This window comes from Homo sapiens, chromosome 16, assembly GCF_000001405.40.
Source record: "Homo sapiens chromosome 16, GRCh38.p14 Primary Assembly".
Taxonomy (NCBI): Eukaryota; Metazoa; Chordata; class Mammalia; order Primates; family Hominidae; genus Homo; species Homo sapiens.
In genome coordinates, this window is record NC_000016.10 from 89,921,424 (window position 1) to 89,939,892 (window position 18,469).

General features: G+C 58.4%; 1 protein-coding gene across 2 annotated transcripts, besides 9 other annotated features; it reads left to right on the forward strand.

Moving 5' to 3' along the window:
• Positions 502-14,674, forward strand: TUBB3 (tubulin beta 3 class III). Of its 2 annotated transcripts, none has more exons than NM_001197181.2 (4): positions 502-822; positions 11,148-11,256; positions 12,045-12,155; positions 13,306-14,674. In NM_001197181.2, the coding sequence occupies exons 3-4, from the start codon at positions 12,095-12,097 to the stop codon at positions 14,379-14,381; spliced, it is 1,137 nt and encodes a 378-aa protein (NP_001184110.1). In that variant the 5' UTR covers positions 502-822; positions 11,148-11,256; positions 12,045-12,094; the 3' UTR covers positions 14,382-14,674. The 2 variants fall into 2 exon arrangements, with proteins under 2 accessions (NP_001184110.1, NP_006077.2); NM_006086.4 differs by lacking the exon at positions 502-822 and adding an exon at positions 1,919-2,035.
• Positions 632-1,515: an enhancer, noted in NCBI's record as "H3K27ac hESC enhancer chr16:89988463-89989346 (GRCh37/hg19 assembly coordinates)". NCBI's record gives its function as "activates a minimal SCP1, AML or CMV promoter by ChIP-STARR-seq in primed H9 embryonic stem cells {active_cell/tissue: H9 hESC(primed)}" and the evidence as "EXISTENCE:reporter gene assay evidence [ECO:0000049][PMID:30033119]".
• Positions 632-1,845: a biological region, named in NCBI's record as "Sharpr-MPRA regulatory region 7867".
• Positions 1,438-1,732: an enhancer, noted in NCBI's record as "tiled region #7867; K562 Activating non-DNase unmatched - State 1:Tss". NCBI's record gives its function as "activates a minimal TATA promoter and a strong SV40 promoter by Sharpr-MPRA in K562 cells {active_cell/tissue: K562}" and the evidence as "EXISTENCE:reporter gene assay evidence [ECO:0000049][PMID:27701403]".
• Positions 1,586-1,675: a silencer, noted in NCBI's record as "silent region_7930". NCBI's record gives its function as "represses an Ori minimal core promoter by ATAC-STARR-seq in GM12878 lymphoblastoid cells {active_cell/tissue: GM12878}" and the evidence as "EXISTENCE:reporter gene assay evidence [ECO:0000049][PMID:35858748]".
• Positions 1,696-1,845: a silencer, noted in NCBI's record as "silent region_7931". NCBI's record gives its function as "represses an Ori minimal core promoter by ATAC-STARR-seq in GM12878 lymphoblastoid cells {active_cell/tissue: GM12878}" and the evidence as "EXISTENCE:reporter gene assay evidence [ECO:0000049][PMID:35858748]".
• Positions 1,926-2,175: a silencer, noted in NCBI's record as "silent region_7932". NCBI's record gives its function as "represses an Ori minimal core promoter by ATAC-STARR-seq in GM12878 lymphoblastoid cells {active_cell/tissue: GM12878}" and the evidence as "EXISTENCE:reporter gene assay evidence [ECO:0000049][PMID:35858748]".
• Positions 3,849-4,749: an enhancer, noted in NCBI's record as "H3K4me1 hESC enhancer chr16:89991680-89992580 (GRCh37/hg19 assembly coordinates)". NCBI's record gives its function as "activates a minimal SCP1, AML or CMV promoter by ChIP-STARR-seq in naive H9 embryonic stem cells {active_cell/tissue: H9 hESC(naive)}" and the evidence as "EXISTENCE:reporter gene assay evidence [ECO:0000049][PMID:30033119]".
• Positions 3,849-5,175: a biological region, named in NCBI's record as "H3K4me1 hESC enhancer GRCh37_chr16:89991680-89992580".
• Positions 4,516-5,175: a silencer, noted in NCBI's record as "silent region_7933". NCBI's record gives its function as "represses an Ori minimal core promoter by ATAC-STARR-seq in GM12878 lymphoblastoid cells {active_cell/tissue: GM12878}" and the evidence as "EXISTENCE:reporter gene assay evidence [ECO:0000049][PMID:35858748]".

Here is an 18,469-nt window from a genome sequence, read left to right on the forward strand (position 1 = left end):
CAGTGCAGGTGGGCTGGGGGCTGGGTCTGCTGTCTGCCCAGCACTGCCATTCTGGGAGTAGGCAGGTGGGGAAGGGGTCGGGGGTGGAGGGTCTGTGTTCAGCCAGTCCTGGGAAATGCTTGATGTGAGGCTTCTGAAGATGGCAGTGAGGCAGAGGCCCAGCCGGCGGAGAAGTCCCTGGGAGTGAGTACCTGGGGATGAACTATGCTGCCTGGTGCTGGGGAGCAGTGGCGCCCCTGGGCCATCCCTCTGCTGAAACCTGGGCGTCTCGCTGAAGAGACCACCTCCATTTCCTCTGCAGAGACTGAGCACTCAGTCAGCCCCCTTCCTGGGACAGGCTCAATGGAGGCTGCAGGGCCATCAGCCGACTCCTACGCAGGCTCAGTCAGCAGCCCCCTGGCCAGCCCCACCCCTGACTGCCGGCCTCAGAACTGGGAGCTGCTTCCTGGCAGGGCCCGCCTCTGCTGGGAGACCGGACGGTGAGTCAGCCTTAAGCCCGGCACCAGACCCCTCTGAGGATGGAGCAGGAGCTGGCTGCCCTGAGGCTGCAAAACTTCTTCCCTCGTGGAGACAGGGAGGCACCTCAGACACTCACCCCGGACTCCCTTGAACAGGGACAGGGAGGAACCCCAGGCAGCTAGACCCCAGCAGCAGCCACACGAGCACACTGTGGGGCAGGGAGGGGCATCTCTTGAGAACAAAAGATCCATTTCTCGACTTTCCAAACTGGAGAGCTTCTTGAGAGAAAAGAGAGAGACAGGTACAGGTCCACGCCACCCACACACAGCCCTGTGCACACAGACCGGACACAGGCGTCCACAGGCAAGTTCGCAGCTGCTCATTTTGTGAAGTGAATGCTGATTTGGGGGCCGGGTGGGGTTCGTCTGTACATCGTGCACTGTCAGACCCTTCCTGAAGGATTTTTGTTACTGAAGTATCAGAAGGCCCTTGTTCTAAGGTGGTGGCACTGTAATATCTGGCCCAGGAGGAGGTCAGTGCCGTGCCGGCGAGTCCTTTGCTCCCTTCCTTCTCTGACCAGTAAACGCATCTCCAGTCGCTCCCCCGAGGCCCCCCTGCACGCAGTCTCCGACCTCAGAGAGTGAGTCAGATAGAAGCCGCTGCCCACCCTCCCCCACCCTGGCCGGGTTCTTGCCTGGCTTGTGCGTCCTTGTGACAATTCCTGACACGGATGCGCACCGGGCAGTGGCACGTCCAGGTGCTGTGCGCGCCCGGGCCCACAAAGCTCCTTTGGACGCTCATGGCAGCCCCTTGGTGGAGGAGGTCGGGTGCCCACCCCCTCCCCGCCCACTGCGGAAGCCGGCGACCCACGGAGCTCGCTCTCGGCCGCCGCCACCCCTCTGTGTTCGCGCCCTTCCGAGCTCTGATCCGACGCTTTGTTTCTTCTCAGTGGGTTCAGGGCCTGGGCCAGCCTTTACCTACCTCCCCCACCCAAAACCGGCAAAAGCTCAGAGCACCTTGTCTGCCAAAAGACAGGGAGCTGGGATGGTGCGGGTTGGTCTCTAAACCGGCGTGGGGAAAAAAGACCCTCCGTACAAAGCCGCAGGGTGGGGCTGTCGCAAGGGCGGAACCGAGAGGGTAGCTGGGGGCGGGGTTCCCAGGGCCAAGAGGGGCCATTGTCCTCCCTGGAGCCCGGCGCCCCCACAGCCAGCTCCTCTGGGAGACAGCCCCTCCTTTCGAATGCGCGGGGCCCTCAGACCGCGCCCGGCCCAGCGCTGGGGGATCCTTGGCTGCGGGAGGGGCGCCGCATTGCGCGCGGCGGGCGGGGACGCGCGGTGCGGAGCCTGCGGGCCGGGCGGGGCTCTGCGGCGGCGCCTCCCGATTGGCCACCCGCGGTGACATCAGCCGATGCGAAGGGCGGGGCCGCGGCTATAAGAGCGCGCGGCCGCGGTCCCCGACCCTCAGCAGCCAGCCCGGCCCGCCCGCGCCCGTCCGCAGCCGCCCGCCAGACGCGCCCAGTATGAGGGAGATCGTGCACATCCAGGCCGGCCAGTGCGGCAACCAGATCGGGGCCAAGGTGAGGCTGCGCGCCCCGGCCTGTCCCGGGCCCCGGGGCGGGAGGAGGGAGGCGCCGTGCCCCGCGGGCCGCACCTCCAGCTGCCCCCGCCCCTGCGAACCTGCAACAAAGGGATGCGCCCAGCGCCGCGCCGGGCGGCCGGGACGCGGGGCCCCCGCCCTGGGACTCTCGCCTGCACCTCTCTGCCCCTGCCCAGGTGACCTCGGGCTGTCGAGGCGCAGCTCACGTCAGTCGCGAAGCCTCAGCCCCCTCCACACCTGCGCCCCCTCCACACCTGCACCCCCTCCACCGGGCCTCCGCAGGTGCAGCTGGGAGCCCTGTCTGGGCGTGGCCCTCTTTTTTGGGGCCGCGGCATAGCCTTGAGTGAGACGGGTGGGGTAGGCAGGTTTGGGTGGGGTGGGGGGTTCTCCTCACAGCCGTGATTTCCTCGGCCCGAACCCCCCACTGGAGTAGCCGAACGTCCCCCGAGAGGCTAGAGCCGCCCCGATTTCCCCAGCCTGCTCCGACACCCCTCGGCGTCCTAGCTCCACCCTGTCCCTTTGTTGGAGGGGTTGGGCCTGGACTCGAGATGACCTTGGTCCAGGACCAGGCTCTCCATCGGCGCAGCCGCTCCTGGGCAACCCCCGCGGGGCTTGACCGCGCCCACCCAGGGTCTACCAGTCTGGGGATTGGATGTGGGAACAAAGCCGGGCTGTGGGGTGTGGAGGCTGCACCGTGGCGCGCCCCTCCCTCCATTGTTAGCCCACCTCGCAGATGTTGGGGCCACGCAGAAAGGGGCGTTGGTGCAGCTGTGCAGGGACCCCTGCCTAAATCATTAAGGGGACGTCGTGTCCCCTGGTCCTGGGAGGCTGTCCCTGGCCCAAGGTCACACAGCAGGTGCGAGAGAGCTGGGCTGGCCCTTGGTTCTCATCCCCTGCAGGAGCCAACCTGGGGCTCGGGCGGGGCGGGTTGGGGGCGCTGCTTGCCAAAGGATCTGCCCTCCGAACAGTGTTGGGGAACAGGGGATCGGGGGGGGAGGCTGGCTTTGTCAGGACCAAGGCCAGGGACCCAGCTCAGGGCTGGTGCAGCGCTGATTCTGGGAAGGAGGGGGTGCAGGAGACGGTCCTGGAGGGGAAGGGGCCAGAGAAAGGCAGCCTCCGGAGGCTGTTGCCATGGAAACCAGGCAGGAACAAAAAGCTAATTACAACAGGGCCAGCCACGTGGCTGACATGTAAATTGCAACTTTGGCTCCGGGTGGAGGCGCCTCTGAGGGTGGGAGGCCCAGTAGTGGGGAGACTCTAATCACCCAAGGAGACAGCTGTGCCTGCCAAGGAGAGCCTGGGGGAGGGGAGACCTGGGGGACAGTGGCCTCAAATCAAACCAGGACTCCCGGAGCAGCCTCTGACAGCTGCCTTGGCCTGATGGGAGGGGCTGAGGGCTCATTAATGTGGTCACTGGGGCCAAGCCTCCCCTGAGCATCTGCTCCTGGGAGGGTCAGGGGTCGCTGGGGGGAGGGAGGGCAGGCAGCCCTGGGGCTCCTGGGAGGGTCAGGGGTCTCTGGGGAGAGGGAGGGCAGGCAGCCCTGGGGCCCACCTGGGGTTTCTCCTTCTATGGCTGGGATGGGCCCAGAGCTGTGGTCCCACAAGGCACTTGTCAGGCAAGAGCTGGGATCTAGAAGTCAGGTGCACATGCAGACATCCCCTGAGGCTCCACGGGTAGCAGAGGGAGCCCTTGTCCCCTGGACCGTGTCCTTGGCTGCCTTGTGCTCTGCTTCTGAACACTGGAGCTCTTAGTTTGCCCGCTACTTTTTATTCCTTTTGAGTTGTTTGTTTTTTCTTAATATATTTCTTTTTAAAAATTAATACCTGGCCGGGCACGGTGGATGAGGAATCTCATGTAATCCCAGCACTTTGGGAGACTGAAACTGGAGGATCACTTTAGCGAAGGAGTTCAAGACCAGCCGGGATAACATGGTGAAACTCCGTTTCTTAAAAAAAAAAAAAAAAAAATTAGCCTGGCGTGGTGGGCCGCGCCTGTAGTCCCAGCTACCTGGGAGGCTGAGATGGGAGCATTGCTTCAGCGTGGGAGGTCGAGGCTGCAATGAACTATGACCGCACCACTGTACTCCAGACTAGGCGATAGAGTGAGATCCTGTCTCACAGTAATAATAGTATCTGATTCTTTTTAACAATGAAAGCAACAGAGAAGGAAATTTTCTCGGGGGCGGGGGCGGCAAGAGCGTGTTCCTTTGCTCTGCTGCCCTTGTGGAATCAATGGGAAGTTCCTTGGCCGTTCTCGGCCTCCACTCCCGCAGCTGATAGGGGGTGCAACGCGGCTGCTTCCCTGTCTGGGGTCCTCGGGCGGTGCCTGGCTGGGCAGGAAGGCCCGTGCACTCTGGGCAGAGGGAAGTCGGGGTGACTCGAGGCCGGGAGCAAAGCCGGGTCCCGGGCGGTCACGCGGCAGCGCGGACGACTCACCGCGGTCACCCCTGCGCTGGGAGCCGAGCCCCCGGCAGCTCGCGGGGATGCAGTAAGCCGGGCGCAGCCCGCCGGGAGGATGAGAAAACCCGAAGCCCGGAAAGCCGAGCGGCCGCCTGCAGTCACCCCGGGGGGGGCAGGGGCGGGCCGGGCTATGCAGAAACACCGGGGCCCGCGGGACACAGGACGCTGCCCCACTGCCGCAGAGCTGAATCTGGACCCCCGGGCTTTGCTTTCCTGGGGCCTGTGCTCCTCCCTCCCCGGGGCGGGGTTCGCCTGCAGCGGCGGAGGGGGGAGCCTTTGTCCTCCGCGCGGGCTGCGGCACCGCCTCCTCGCGGCTGCGGGGCGGGGCTGGGGGCGGGGCCTGGCCGTCTCAGCCAATGGGAGGCGGAGTCCCTGGCTCGCCCCGCCCTCTCGCCTGAAAGACCTGCGGAGCCGCGGGCCGGGCGGGAACCGCATTCGGGTCCTGGAGGGGCTTGGAGGCCCCAGTCTCGCAGCCCCTTCATCGGGGACCCCCGCTCCCACCTGCCTTGGCCACTGCCCTCAAAGCCCGGCCCCGCTTTCCCCAGGACCCCAAGCGCTGCGCGAGGTCAGCACCAAGGACAGCGCCCGGGCCGAGCGCCTGGCCTCGAACGCCGGGTTCTGCTTTGTGTTTCCAGGTTTTTGTTTTTGGTTATGAGAGGAGGCCTGGCTCTGTCGCCCGGGCTGGCGTCCAGAGGCGCGATCTCGGCTCACTGCAGCCTCGGCCTCCCGAGTAGCTGGGACCGCAGGCGCTCACCACCACGCCTGGCCACAATTTTCCTTTTTTCTTATTTTCTTTTAGATGGAGTTTGGCTCTTGTTGCCCAGGCTGGAGTGCAGTGGCGCGATCTCGGCTCATTGCAACCTCCACTTCCTGGGTTCAAGCTATTCTCCTGCCTCAGCCTCCTGAGTAGCTGGGATTACAGGCGCCCGCCACCACACCTGGCTTATTTTGTACTTTTACTAGAGATGGGGTTTCTCCATCTTGGTCAGGCTGGTCTCAAACTCCTGACCTCAGGTGATTCACCTGCCTCAGCCTCCCAAAGTGCTGGGATTGCAGGCATGAGCCACCACGCCGGGCCGATTTCCTTTTCTGTAGTGATGTTAACAATTTAGTTTATAAAATTATATTTTATTGTTTATTAAATATGTAACATAGGCCAGGTGCGGTGGCTCACACCTGTAATCCCAGCACTTTGGGAGGCCGAGGTGGGTGGATCACCTGAGGTCAGCACTTCAGGGCCAGCCTGGGCAACATGGCAAGACTCCGTGCCTACAAAAAATAAAAAACAAAAAAAATTAGCTGGACATGGAGGCACGCCGGCCTGTGGTCCCAGCTACTTGGGAGACAGAGGTGGGAGGATCACCTGGGGGAGGTGGGCAGAGGTTAAAGTGAGCTGAGGTCATGCCCCTGCATTCTAGCCTGGGCAATAGAGCAAGACCCTATCTAAAAAAAAAAAAGGAACAATATATTTTATTACTTTATCTCAAATTATAATTTTATTAATTTTAACTACAAAAGCAATTAATATATTCTCCTGGTTAAAAAAAACCTTAAATATTGCAGATAAACCTGGTGCCCATCTAGCCACCTCTCTCTATCCAAGTGGGAACAAATTTCTTTTTCTATCCTTCTGGTCCATTTTTTTTAAGTGACCTGTGCATATGGTTTTAAAACTTTAAATAGTATCTAAAACATTTGAACAAAATGAAGCCAACATGTGCTGAATGTTTTCATGTCAAGCTTTGTGCTAAGGCCTGGATGTGGGCACCATTCACACGTTCATCTCACAGATGAGAAAACAGGTCCTGCGAGGCACGCGCCTGGCCCACAGCTGTGCTCGTGCTGGGTCTTGAATCCACTCTGCTCCATTGCTCCTGCTGCCCTGTGCCTCGCTCTGCAGAGGACTTCCCATAGATGTGTTACTCTCTCCACCCCTCCTTTACAGGGGCTGGTGGTTGTGGGTTCCCTGGAACCATAAATTTGGGGTGTCCCAGTGCTTTGGGGAGCAAGGTCCCCGACTCAAGTGGACTGCCAGCAACTAAATTAATGGGGGATCCTCAAAGAGAGTGTTAGGGAGGCAAGCAGTAGGTGGGAAGCTTGGACAAGCCCCAAATGCCTCAGGGACCTTTCTGTATTTTTTTTTTGAGACAGGCTCTTACTCTGTCGCCTGGACTGGCATGATCTAGGCTCACTGCAACCTCCACCCCCCTGGCTCAAGTGATCCTCCCACCTCAGCCTCCTGAGTAGCTGGGGCTATAGGCATGCGTCACCATGCCCAACTAATTTTTTTGTTTTTTGGTAGAGACAGGGTTTCACCATGTTGCCCAGGCTGGTCTTGAACTCCTGGACTCAAGTGATCCACCTCTCTTGGCCTCCCAAACTGCTGGGATTATAAATATGAGCCACCATGGCCAGCTGATTTTTTTGTTTGTTTGTTTGAGATGGAGTCTCACTCTGTCACTCAGGCTGGAGTGCAGTGGAGTGATCTCGGCTCACTGCAACCTCCACCTCCTGGGTTCAAGCAATTCTCCTGCCTTAGCCTCCTGAGTAGCTGGGATTACAGGCACCCGTCACCACACTGGCTAATTTTTTTTTTTTTTTTTTGAGGCGGAGTCTCTATCTGTTGCCCAGGCTGGAGCACGGTGGCACAATCTCGGTTCACTGCAAGCTCCGCCTCCCAGGTTCACGCCATTCTCCTGAGTCAGCCTCCCAAGTAGCTGGGACTACAGGTGCCCGCCACCGCGCCTGGCTAATTTTTTGTATTTTTAGTAGAGACAGGGTTTCACTGTGCCAGCCAGGATGGTCTCGATCTCCTGACCTCATGATCCGCCCACCTCGGCCTCCCAAAGTGCTAGGACCACAGACAGGCGTGAGCCACTGCGTCTGGCCTAATTTTTGTATTTTTAGTAGAGATGGGGTTTCACCATGTTGGTCAGGCTGGTCTCGAACTACTGACCTCGTGATCCACCCGCCTTGGCCTCCCAAAGTGCTGGGATTGCAGGCGTGAGCCACCGCGCCCGGCCTTTTTTTTTTTTTTTTTTAAGATAGGGTTTCACTCTTGTCCCACAGGCTGGTGTGCAGTGGCTTGATCTCAGCTCACTGCAACCTCTGCCCCCTGGGTTCAAGCGATTCTCGTGTCTCAGACTCTGAAACAACTGAAATTACAGGTGCGCGCTACCACGCCCGGCTAATTTTTGTATTTTTAGTAGGGACAGGGTTTTGCCCTGTTGTCCAGGTTGGTCCTGAACTCCTGACTTCAAGTGATCTGCCTGCCTCAGCCTCCCAAAGTGCTGGGATTATAGGCATGAGCCACCACACCCAGCCTGAATCATTTTTGTAATTTAAAAATTTAACGCAAAAAGAATAAAACTTAGCAATAACAAAAATGCACAAAAGATGGAAAGAAATCCACCCCTGACCTTTGTGGAGAGATGACCTCTGATAACAGTCTCAGGGTGAACGGGCACCTCTGATAACAGTCTCAGGGTGAACGGGCATCCCGAGACACTGTTAGCAGAGGTGGTCCATGTCCATGCTGTCCGCGTTACAATAATTACACTATGTTTATTCTTAAGGTTTTAAAAACATTTATTTTTAACAAATTTTCTTTGAAAAGCTACCGTGTGCACGTGAGAAAATCTCAACAAGACCACAGGGCACCCGTGAGAAGAAGCTCCTCCCAGTCTGGGGCCCCTCCCCAGGCACAGCCTTCCACACATCTACCAGAGGCACCCACGCATAGAGAAGCACCCACAAGCAGTTTTCTTTCTTTCTTTTATTTGAGACGGTGTTTCCTTCTGTTGCCCAGGCTTGAGTGCAGTGGCATGACATAAGCTCACTGCAACCTCCACCTCCCGAGTTCGTGTGATTCTCCGCCTCAGCCTCCCAAGCAGCTGGGATTACAGGTGCTCGCCACCACGCCTGGCTAATTTTTGTATTTTTAGTAGAGACAGGGTTTTGCCATGTTGGCCAGGCTGGTCTTGAACTCCTGACCTCAGATGATCCACTGCCTCAGCCTCCCAAAGTACTGGGATTACAGGCGTGAGCCACCGTGCCTGGCACAAGCAGTTTTCTCCCCTTCCTTCCTTCCTTCCTTCCTTCCTTCCTTCCTTCCTTCCTTCCTCTCTCTCTCTCTTTCCTTTCTTTCTTCCTTCATTCCTTCCTTCCTTCCTTCCTTCCTTTCTTTCTGACAGTCTCGCACTATTGCCCAGGCTGGAGTGCAGTGGCGCGATCTCGACTCACCACAACCTCTGCCTCCTGGGTTCAAGCAATTCTCCTGCCTCAGCCTCTCGAGTAGCTGGGAGTACAGGTGCGCGCCACCATGCCTGGCTAATTTTTGTATTTTTGGGAGAGATGGAGTTTCACTATGTTGGCCAGGCTGGTCTCGAACTCCTGACCTCGTGACCCACCCGCCTCTGCCTCCCAAAGTGCAGGGATTATGGGGGTGAGCCACCGTGCCCAGCTATGAGTGGTTTTGTTTCTATTTATTTATTATTATTCTATGAGACAGAGTCTCACTCTGTCGCCCACGCTGGAGTACAGTGGTGCAATCTTGGCTTACTGCAACCTCCGTCTCCTGGGTTCAAGCAATTCTTCTGCCTCAGCTTCCGGAGTAGCTGGAACGTGTGAGCCACCACCCCTGGCTAATTTTTGTATTTTTAGTAGAGACAGGCTGGTCTCGAACTCCTGACTTCCGGTGATCTGCCCACCTCAGCCTCCCAAATTGTTGGTATTACAGGCGTGAGCCACCGCACCTGGCCTCTATTTATTTATTTATTTTGAGATGGGGTCTTGATATGAATTCCTAGACTCATGCTTCTCATGCTTGCTACCACCCAGTCCTGCCTCCTGCACAGCAGTTTCCACTAAAGTCACCCCTTTACGAGAGGCATCTTTTTTTTTTTTTTGAGATGGTGTCTCACTCTGTCGCCCAGGCTGGAGTGCAATGGCATGATCTCAGCTCACTGCAAGCTCCACCTCCTGGGTTCAAGTGATTCTCCTGCTTCAGCCTCCCGAGTAGCTGGGACTACAGGCACCCGCCACCATTCCCGGCTAATTTTTTGTATCTTTAGTAGAGACGGGGTTTCACCATGTTAGCCAGGATGGTCTCGATCTCCTGACTTCGTGATCCACCCGCCTCGGCCTCCCAAAGTGTTGGGATTACAGGCATGAGCCACTGTACCTGGCCTACTAGAGGCATCTTAAAACACATCTCCTGTGTCTCCATTCCAAAGCGCATCTTTGTCTACACTCCTGGGGTCCTCCCACGTCAGCCTCCCAAAGTGCTGGGATTACAGTCATGAGCCACTGTGCCCGGCCCCACCAAATTGTTTTCTAACCTGCTTTTTTCTTGAGGAATCTTCTGCAGCACATGACTCACATGTAGAGCCCCTTGTTTCTTGAGGCCTTCATACCCGTCAGCTCATCTAAAAGTCACTCCTGAGGAGTAAGGGCAAGGGGCATTGGGAGAGGTCAGGCAGCCCTGGGAAGCCTCCCAGCGTGTGTCCCAGGAGGCCTGCTGCCTGCAGACACTGCTCCCAGACGCAGCGGCCTCGGCCATCAGAGCGTGTCCCACGATGAGGTGGCAACTTCCCTGAAGGGCTTGCTCTCACCCAGGGGTGTGGTTCTCCGTGTGCACACAGATAGATAGTTCTACGTTTGCCATATACCATTTATATGCCTCACACAGATTAACCCACTTTCATTTCAAAAAGACCTCCTGTCATCGTGCCCATTGTACAGATGAGGACACTGAGACACGGAATCCTAGTGACCTGTGCAAGGTCACACAGCTGGGAAGGGTGAGGGAAGCGTCTGTGAACCCAGCAGGCCCAGCCCCTGAGTCTAGGCTCCGCTCGGCAGCTGTCATGGGAGCAGAGTCCGAGAAGCACTGCAGGCACCTGCTCTAGGGGGAGAGAGGTGGAGGTGGCAGGTAGAGAGAGGACGACCCCTGGGAGCTGAGACGATGCCAGCCTCACACGGACAGGCTGGGTGACCTCAGGCAAGTCGCTTCCCATTTGGGACCCCAAGGACCCTTCTGCAGACCCAGCTGGGGGTCCCCGATGAGACTGGCTCTCAGAGTCCCTGTGAGTCCCGTCAGCTGAGGCCAGTAATGTCCTGGCACCATCACTGGACATGGTTTGCTCTCCCATGGAGGGGCAGGTGTAGCAGCCAAAAGCGATCCTGAGCTCTGGGCCTCTGAACCCTGCTCTGCCAGCTACTGTGGGTGTCTCTACCCGCTCTGTGTCTCAGTTCCCTTTCCTGAAAAGAGGGGATAGTAAAAACTAACCCTCAAGGTGTTTATTACCAATGCCCTTCATGGAGGAATCCGCTGCTCCAGGCCCTTGCCAGCAGCTGCACAGCTGGGCCTGGGGACCTGGGTGTGGGTCTGTTGAACCTTGGCCCACCCTGGGGCTGTGGTCGGCCTGGACGTGTAGGTGTGGAGGTGCATATTTATTATGGCAATTTTCTGACAGGTAACAGAGTGTGGGGCTCTCTTCTGAATGGGGCTCGTGGAGGCCGTGGGTCAAAAGCCCTAATTTTGTAGTGAGGGCTAAAAGGCTTCACAAGGGAAAGGGCCTGGCTGGGGCTATGGGCCGGTGCCGACCCCCCCTCTCCCACTTTGTTTGCAGTTCTGGGAAGTCATCAGTGATGAGCATGGCATCGACCCCAGCGGCAACTACGTGGGCGACTCGGACTTGCAGCTGGAGCGGATCAGCGTCTACTACAACGAGGCCTCTTGTGAGTGCCTGCCCCAGCCTCCCTATCCCAGCCCTGGACTGACCAGGTCTCAGCGTCTGACTGACCAGGTCTCAGCACCTGGACTCACCAGCTCTCAGCATCTCTGTCCTCCCATGGGTTAGGTTGGCTGAGATGCCAGCAGGCGTAACTGGATGTCAGGCATCCAGACGCACAGAACAGACAATAAATCACAGTCACAAAAGTGAGAGCCAAACATATTAGTGCCATGAGGGCCTGTGCGTGTCCAGGGGCACAGACAGGGATGGGGCAGGCCAGAGACTTTGGAGGCCATAAGAGGGCCTAGAGAAGGGGTCACCTGGAGGGCTTAGTCAGGGGCTCTTTAGCAACTGGTGTGAAGTGATTTCCATATCAAAGTGGTGATACACCCACCTGCCCACATGGACATGTGATTTAAAATTTTATTTAATTTAATAGAGACAGTCTCGATATGTTGCCCAGGCTGGTCTCGAACTCCTGGACTCAAGCGATCCACCTGCCTTGGCCTCCCAAAGTGTTGGGAGTGCAGACACGAGCCCCTGCATCTGGTGGACGTCTGACTGAATCCTGCCTGTCCTGCTCCGTCCTGTCCTGCTCCGTCCTTAAACACAGTGAGGCTTAAGGGTGAAGAAAGTTGCTGAAGCTTGCCTTTGGTCCAGGACTCTGACTTCAGAGTACAGGCTCTTAGGATGTGAGCAGGAGGATGGCAGGCGGGCACAGAATTCAGAAAGAATGAGGGAGAGGCTCTGGCCCTCTGTGACCCGAATCACCGAGCCCCTCTCTCCCCTCAGCTCACAAGTACGTGCCTCGAGCCATTCTGGTGGACCTGGAACCCGGAACCATGGACAGTGTCCGCTCAGGGGCCTTTGGACATCTCTTCAGGCCTGACAATTTCATCTTTGGTAAGTTCCCCCTGCTCCAAGCTCTGATGGCAGACCCCATCACAGGCAAGCCCAGGTCGGTGGACGGGGACGGCTGTGAGAAACAAGGAATGGTCAGCTCCTCACATGATCCTGAATGGTGGGAACTCATCTCTCCATTTTACAGCTGGGCATTGGAGGCCCAGAGAAAGGGTTCTGTGGGGAGAACAGAAACCACTCATGCATTTCAAGTGGAATGAAGTGTAAAGCAGACAGAAGCTTACAGAATTGCTAGAGAGCTGGTGAGACAGAACGGGGCCTCCAGAGGACTCCGGGGTCCAGGAGCACGAGGCCTTGCTGCGGTCAAGAGATCAGGACGTTCCCATGCCTGTGTCCTGGGGTTGGGCCGTGGATGCCACGTTCCCATGTCTGTGTCCTGGGGCGGGGCCGTGGATGCCACGTTCCCACGTCTGTGTCCTGGGGCGGGGCCGTGGATGCCACGTTCCCACGTCTGTGTCCTGGGGCGGGGCCGTGGATGCCACGTTCCCACGCCTGTGTCCTGGGGCGGGGCCGTGGATGCCACGTTCCCACGCCTGTGTCCTGGGGCGGGGCCGTGGATGCCACGTTCCCATGCCTGTGTCCTGGGGCGGGGCCGTGGATGCCACGTTCCCATGCCTGTGTCCTGGGGCGGGGCCGTGGATGCCACGTTCCCATGTCTGTGTCCTGGGGCGGGGCCGTGGACGCGCCACAGAAACAGGAGGGCCTCGCTTCACTTCTGCCTTCCCGACCGCAGCACATCCAGCTGGTAGATGCCAACTCGCATCCAGCCCCCAGCTGCCAGGGATTCTGGGGTGGCTGTTTGGGCTCCTGGCACTGCCAGTCGGAAGGAAGGTATGCTGGAGCAGGAGGGCTGATCCATTCACCCAGGATCCCCTCAGGAGGCAGAGCCTCGCTCTGCTGTGACCCCAAGTTCTCAAGACTCTGTCCAGAGCCCTCGTCCTGAGCACTCAGCAGCATCGGCTCAGGGAAGCCACGGCGGGTATGAGAAGGGGTGCTCAGTGGGGCCTACTTTACAGAAGACAGAACAGGCATGGGGCTGCCACGGCTGCCCTTGGGATGTTCAGGCAGGGGCTGGAGGTCTGGACTGCAGAGTCCCTGGCCCCTGTCTCTTACCCCTCTTCTCCCTGTACAGGTCAGAGTGGGGCCGGCAACAACTGGGCCAAGGGTCACTACACGGAGGGGGCGGAGCTGGTGGATTCGGTCCTGGATGTGGTGCGGAAGGAGTGTGAAAACTGCGACTGCCTGCAGGGCTTCCAGCTGACCCACTCGCTGGGGGGCGGCACGGGCTCCGGCATGGGCACGTTGCTCATCAGCAAGGTGCGTGAGGAGTATCCCGACCGCATCATGAACACCTTCAGCGTCGTGCCCTCACCCAAGGTGTCAGACACGGTGGTGGAGCCCTACAACGCCACGCTGTCCATCCACCAGCTGGTGGAGAACACGGATGAGACCTACTGCATCGACAACGAGGCGCTCTACGACATCTGCTTCCGCACCCTCAAGCTGGCCACGCCCACCTACGGGGACCTCAACCACCTGGTATCGGCCACCATGAGCGGAGTCACCACCTCCTTGCGCTTCCCGGGCCAGCTCAACGCTGACCTGCGCAAGCTGGCCGTCAACATGGTGCCCTTCCCGCGCCTGCACTTCTTCATGCCCGGCTTCGCCCCCCTCACAGCCCGGGGCAGCCAGCAGTACCGGGCCCTGACCGTGCCCGAGCTCACCCAGCAGATGTTCGATGCCAAGAACATGATGGCCGCCTGCGACCCGCGCCACGGCCGCTACCTGACGGTGGCCACCGTGTTCCGGGGCCGCATGTCCATGAAGGAGGTGGACGAGCAGATGCTGGCCATCCAGAGCAAGAACAGCAGCTACTTCGTGGAGTGGATCCCCAACAACGTGAAGGTGGCCGTGTGTGACATCCCGCCCCGCGGCCTCAAGATGTCCTCCACCTTCATCGGGAACAGCACGGCCATCCAGGAGCTGTTCAAGCGCATCTCCGAGCAGTTCACGGCCATGTTCCGGCGCAAGGCCTTCCTGCACTGGTACACGGGCGAGGGCATGGACGAGATGGAGTTCACCGAGGCCGAGAGCAACATGAACGACCTGGTGTCCGAGTACCAGCAGTACCAGGACGCCACGGCCGAGGAAGAGGGCGAGATGTACGAAGACGACGAGGAGGAGTCGGAGGCCCAGGGCCCCAAGTGAAGCTGCTCGCAGCTGGAGTGAGAGGCAGGTGGCGGCCGGGGCCGAAGCCAGCAGTGTCTAAACCCCCGGAGCCATCTTGCTGCCGACACCCTGCTTTCCCCTCGCCCTAGGGCTCCCTTGCCGCCCTCCTGCAGTATTTATGGCCTCGTCCTCCCCACCTAGGCCACGTGTGAGCTGCTCCTGTCTCTGTCTTATTGCAGCTCCAGGCCTGACGTTTTACGGTTTTGTTTTTTACTGGTTTGTGTTTATATTTTCGGGGATACTTAATAAATCTATTGCTGTCAGATACCCTTGCTTGGTGCCAGAGATGTCCTTTTATTCTGGAAAGTTGTGTCCAGTAGGTGGAGGGGCTGACAGGGAGGCCCGGGTGGACAGGCAAGAAGAGCTCATCCTCTCCCAGGCTGGCGGCTGAGAGAGGCCTGCGCTGGGGGCCGGAATGTGTCTCAAGGCACAGCCCGTGGGGAGACCCCGGAAACGGGAAGCCCGGGAGAAGGAACGGGAAGTACCTCATTCCAGACCTCAAGATGCAGCCCTCCCGACTTGGAAATAACCCCACACTCGTTCCCTGGCCTCCCACAGAGCGGCTTGCACCCCAGACTTTTCTCCCACCTGTCTGTAGGCTGAAAGTTGGGGCAGGTGGTCCCTCCTGCGGTGGAAACTGCCATCAGACCTGAAGCCTCGGGTCACAACCAGGGAGGTAGGGAAGGGGGCCCCGAGTGCTCCCTGAAAAAGACGGTGTGTTTAGTGTCTCGGGGCTGGGCCCTGGGAGGGGCTGCTGAGGTCAGGGAGATGCGGCCACAGGACGCAGGCCTGGGCTGCCGGGAGGGACGTATCAGTCCTCCCGCCCCCGGCAGCCCCTTCCTGGGGTGCATGATACTTGGTGTCCAGCCACACAGGGCATGGCCTGAGGAGCCGCTCACCTGGTTCCCCACATCCTCCTACAGGGACAGAGCCTGGAGCCCAGAGAGGCCGACTGCCCAGCCCTCCACAGTCGCCTCCCTGCCACCCCGCCCCTTGGAGCTGAGGGGCATCAGCAGCCTCAGTCTCCCAGGTTCTGCCCAGTGGTACCCTGAGAGCGGCCCCTTCTTCTTGAATCACCCTTCAACCTGGCAATGGGCGCAGAAGAAGACAGGCCGTGTGCACTGCGGGCCCCAGCTTCAGATGCGAGGGCTGCAGGCCCCAGAGGCCGCCATCTCGAGTTCTGGCCCTGACACCCCCAACATGGATGGGGCCGGGGATGTGTCTCCTCCGCCGGCTGCTGCTGTGTAACAAATCACCCCAAATCTACCTGAAACAGCACGGGATCCTTTCTCTAGACACAGCGTGTTAGCTGGATCCTTCTGCTCCTCACAATGTTGGGAGGGGCCAGCTGCAAGCTCTGACATCTCACTCTTGGGGTTGTCCTCCGCACGGCTGCCTGGCCGACCCCTCGCATGGTGGGGCGGAGGCTGGAACCACGTCTTACATGGCACCGGTTCTTTTTTTCTTTGTGACAGAGTCTCGCTCTGTCGCCTAGGCTGGAGTGCAGTGGCGCAATCTCAGCTCACTGCAAGCTCCGCCTCCCGGGTTCACGCCATTCTCCTGCCTCAGCCTCCTGAGTAGCAGGGACTACGGGCGCCCGCCACCATGCCCGGCTAATTTTTTGTATTTTTAGTAGAGATGGGGTTTCACCATGTTAGCCAGGATGGTCTCCATCTCCTGACCTCAGGATCCGCCCACCTTGGCCTCCCAAAGTGCTGGGATTACAGGCGTGAGCCACCGTCACTGATTCTTAAGTGTGCCAGACCCATGTCAATCACAGGCCTGGCATCACTGTCCCATATTCAGTGGGTTCAAGCAAGACCAGAGCCAGTGCAGATGCAGGCAGGGAGGGAAAAGCCCTGTGGTGCGGACTCTGGGGTGTGGTTCCTGGGAGGCTGCCTGAACACAGCCTGGCTTGCACCTGCAACTCCACACATGCGGAGCTGAGCTCCTGACCCCCAGCCCTGCTTCTCCACATCCCTCAGGTTGGTGATGCCAACCACGACACCCCAGGTGCTCAGGGCAAACAGCCGGGGTCACCAGGTATAGGGTCCAGCCCCATAGGGTCGGTGGGTCTCTCCCTGTGTGCGGCGATGACAGAGTGTAGAAATAAAGACACAAGACAAAGAGATAAAAGAAAAGGCAGCTGGGCCCGGGGGACCACCACCAGCAAGACGCGGAGACCGGTAGTGGCCCCGAATGTCTGGCTGCGCTGTTATTTACTGGATACAGAGCAAAAGGGGCAGGGTAAAGAGTGTGAGTCATCTCCAATGACAGGTGAGGTCACGTGGGTCACGTGTCCACTGGACAGGGGGCCCTTCCCTGCCTGGCAGCCAAGGCAGAGAGAGAGAGGGAGAGAGAGAGACAGCTTACACCATTATTTCTGCATATCAAGAGACTTTTATACTTTCACTAATTTGCTACTGCTATCTGGAAGGCAGAGCCAGGTGTACAGGATGGAACATGAAGGTGGACTAGGAGCGTGACCACTGAAGCACAGCATCACAGGGAGATGGTAAGGCCTCCGGATAACTAATGATTAATGATATTCATATATAATCATGTCTATGATCTATATCTAGTATAACTCCTGTTGTTTTATATATTTTATTATACTGGAACAGCTCGTGCCCTCGGTCTCTTGCCTCGGCACCTGGATGGCTTGCCGCCCACAACCAGGGGCTTTTCTTCCCCTCAGGTCCACATCTGCTTTGACAGCAAATCTGGCCAGCTGCACCTTCAGAACACGCCCACAGCCCAGCACCCCTCATGTCTGCTGCTGCCTCGGGTCTTCCTCGTCCCGTCCGTGCGATTGTCTCCTCACTGGGCTCCCACAGCTGCCTGGCCGCTCCTCACATGCAATTTGGCATCTGCTCCCGTGCCACGCTGTCCTTCATATCCTCTTGTTATATATGCCCCGTCCACACCACGTCCCTAATGTTCTAGAACATTGGGGCCCGGGGAATGCCCTCCACTTGAGTGTCCTCCCTGCAGATATCCGACGGCATCACCCTAGGGGACCCTTCCTGGCCCCCCGTGCTCTGAACTCTCCTCCCAGAGCTGCTTTCTGTGCAGCACTCAGCACCCACTTCAGGAGACTGTGCCTTCAGGGGAGGGGTCAACAAAGAGGGTCGAATGGCAGGAATGGGCCTAATTAAGGGGTCCTGGAGCACTGAAGGTGAAGGGGTGGGAGGGCTGGACCCTGGTGAGAACTGGAGCTACAGGAGAGGCCACCCCGGCTGAGCTGAGGTCTCTGAAGGGTAAGAACCCCATCAGAGCAGAGGGAGCCCCGGAGCCAACACCCTGACCTCTCTCTCCTCCGTCCCCCGGCCTCCAGGCACCCTGACTTCTCTCTCCTCCGCCCTCCAGCCTCTTGCTGAGCTCAGCTGGAAGTCAGGGGACGTCCAGGTCAGCCTCCAGGCAGAGAGGAGGGCCAGGAGGCGTGAGAGGTGGGTCTGGGGCCAGTGGAAGGTGAGAACCTGGCCCAGGTCTAATGTGTCATTTAGTCCCCAAGTGTCTCCTCCACGGGGTCAGCTCCACAAGGGACTTCTGTGTTGTTCCCGTTGGACCCCTTAACCTAGAAGAATGCCTGACTCATGGTAGGTAAAGATTTCCGGAAAAAATGGCTTGAATTGTGGTCTTTCATGTAACAACAGACTGGACATGGAGCAGTTCCAGGGTGGGGCTGTGTGTTGGTCTCATCCTTACTGGGTGAGCCCCTTCGTCCGAGAAAACGGCCCCTGCTCCAGTTGTTAGAAAACCGCCTTTACAGGCCAGGTGTGGTGGCTCACACCTGTAATCCCAGCACTTCAGGAGGCCAAGGCAGACAGGTCATGAGGTCAGGAAATGGAGACCATCCTGGCTAACAAGGTGAAACCCCGTAACTACTAAAAATACAAAAAAATTAGCTGGGCGTGGTGGCGGGCGCCTTTAGTCCCAACTACTCGGGAGGCTGAGGCAGAAGAATCACTTGAACCCAGGAGGTGGAGGTTGCAGTGAGCTGAGATCCCGCCACTGCACTACAGCCCGGGTGACAGAGTAAGACTCTGTCTCAAAAAAAAAAAAAA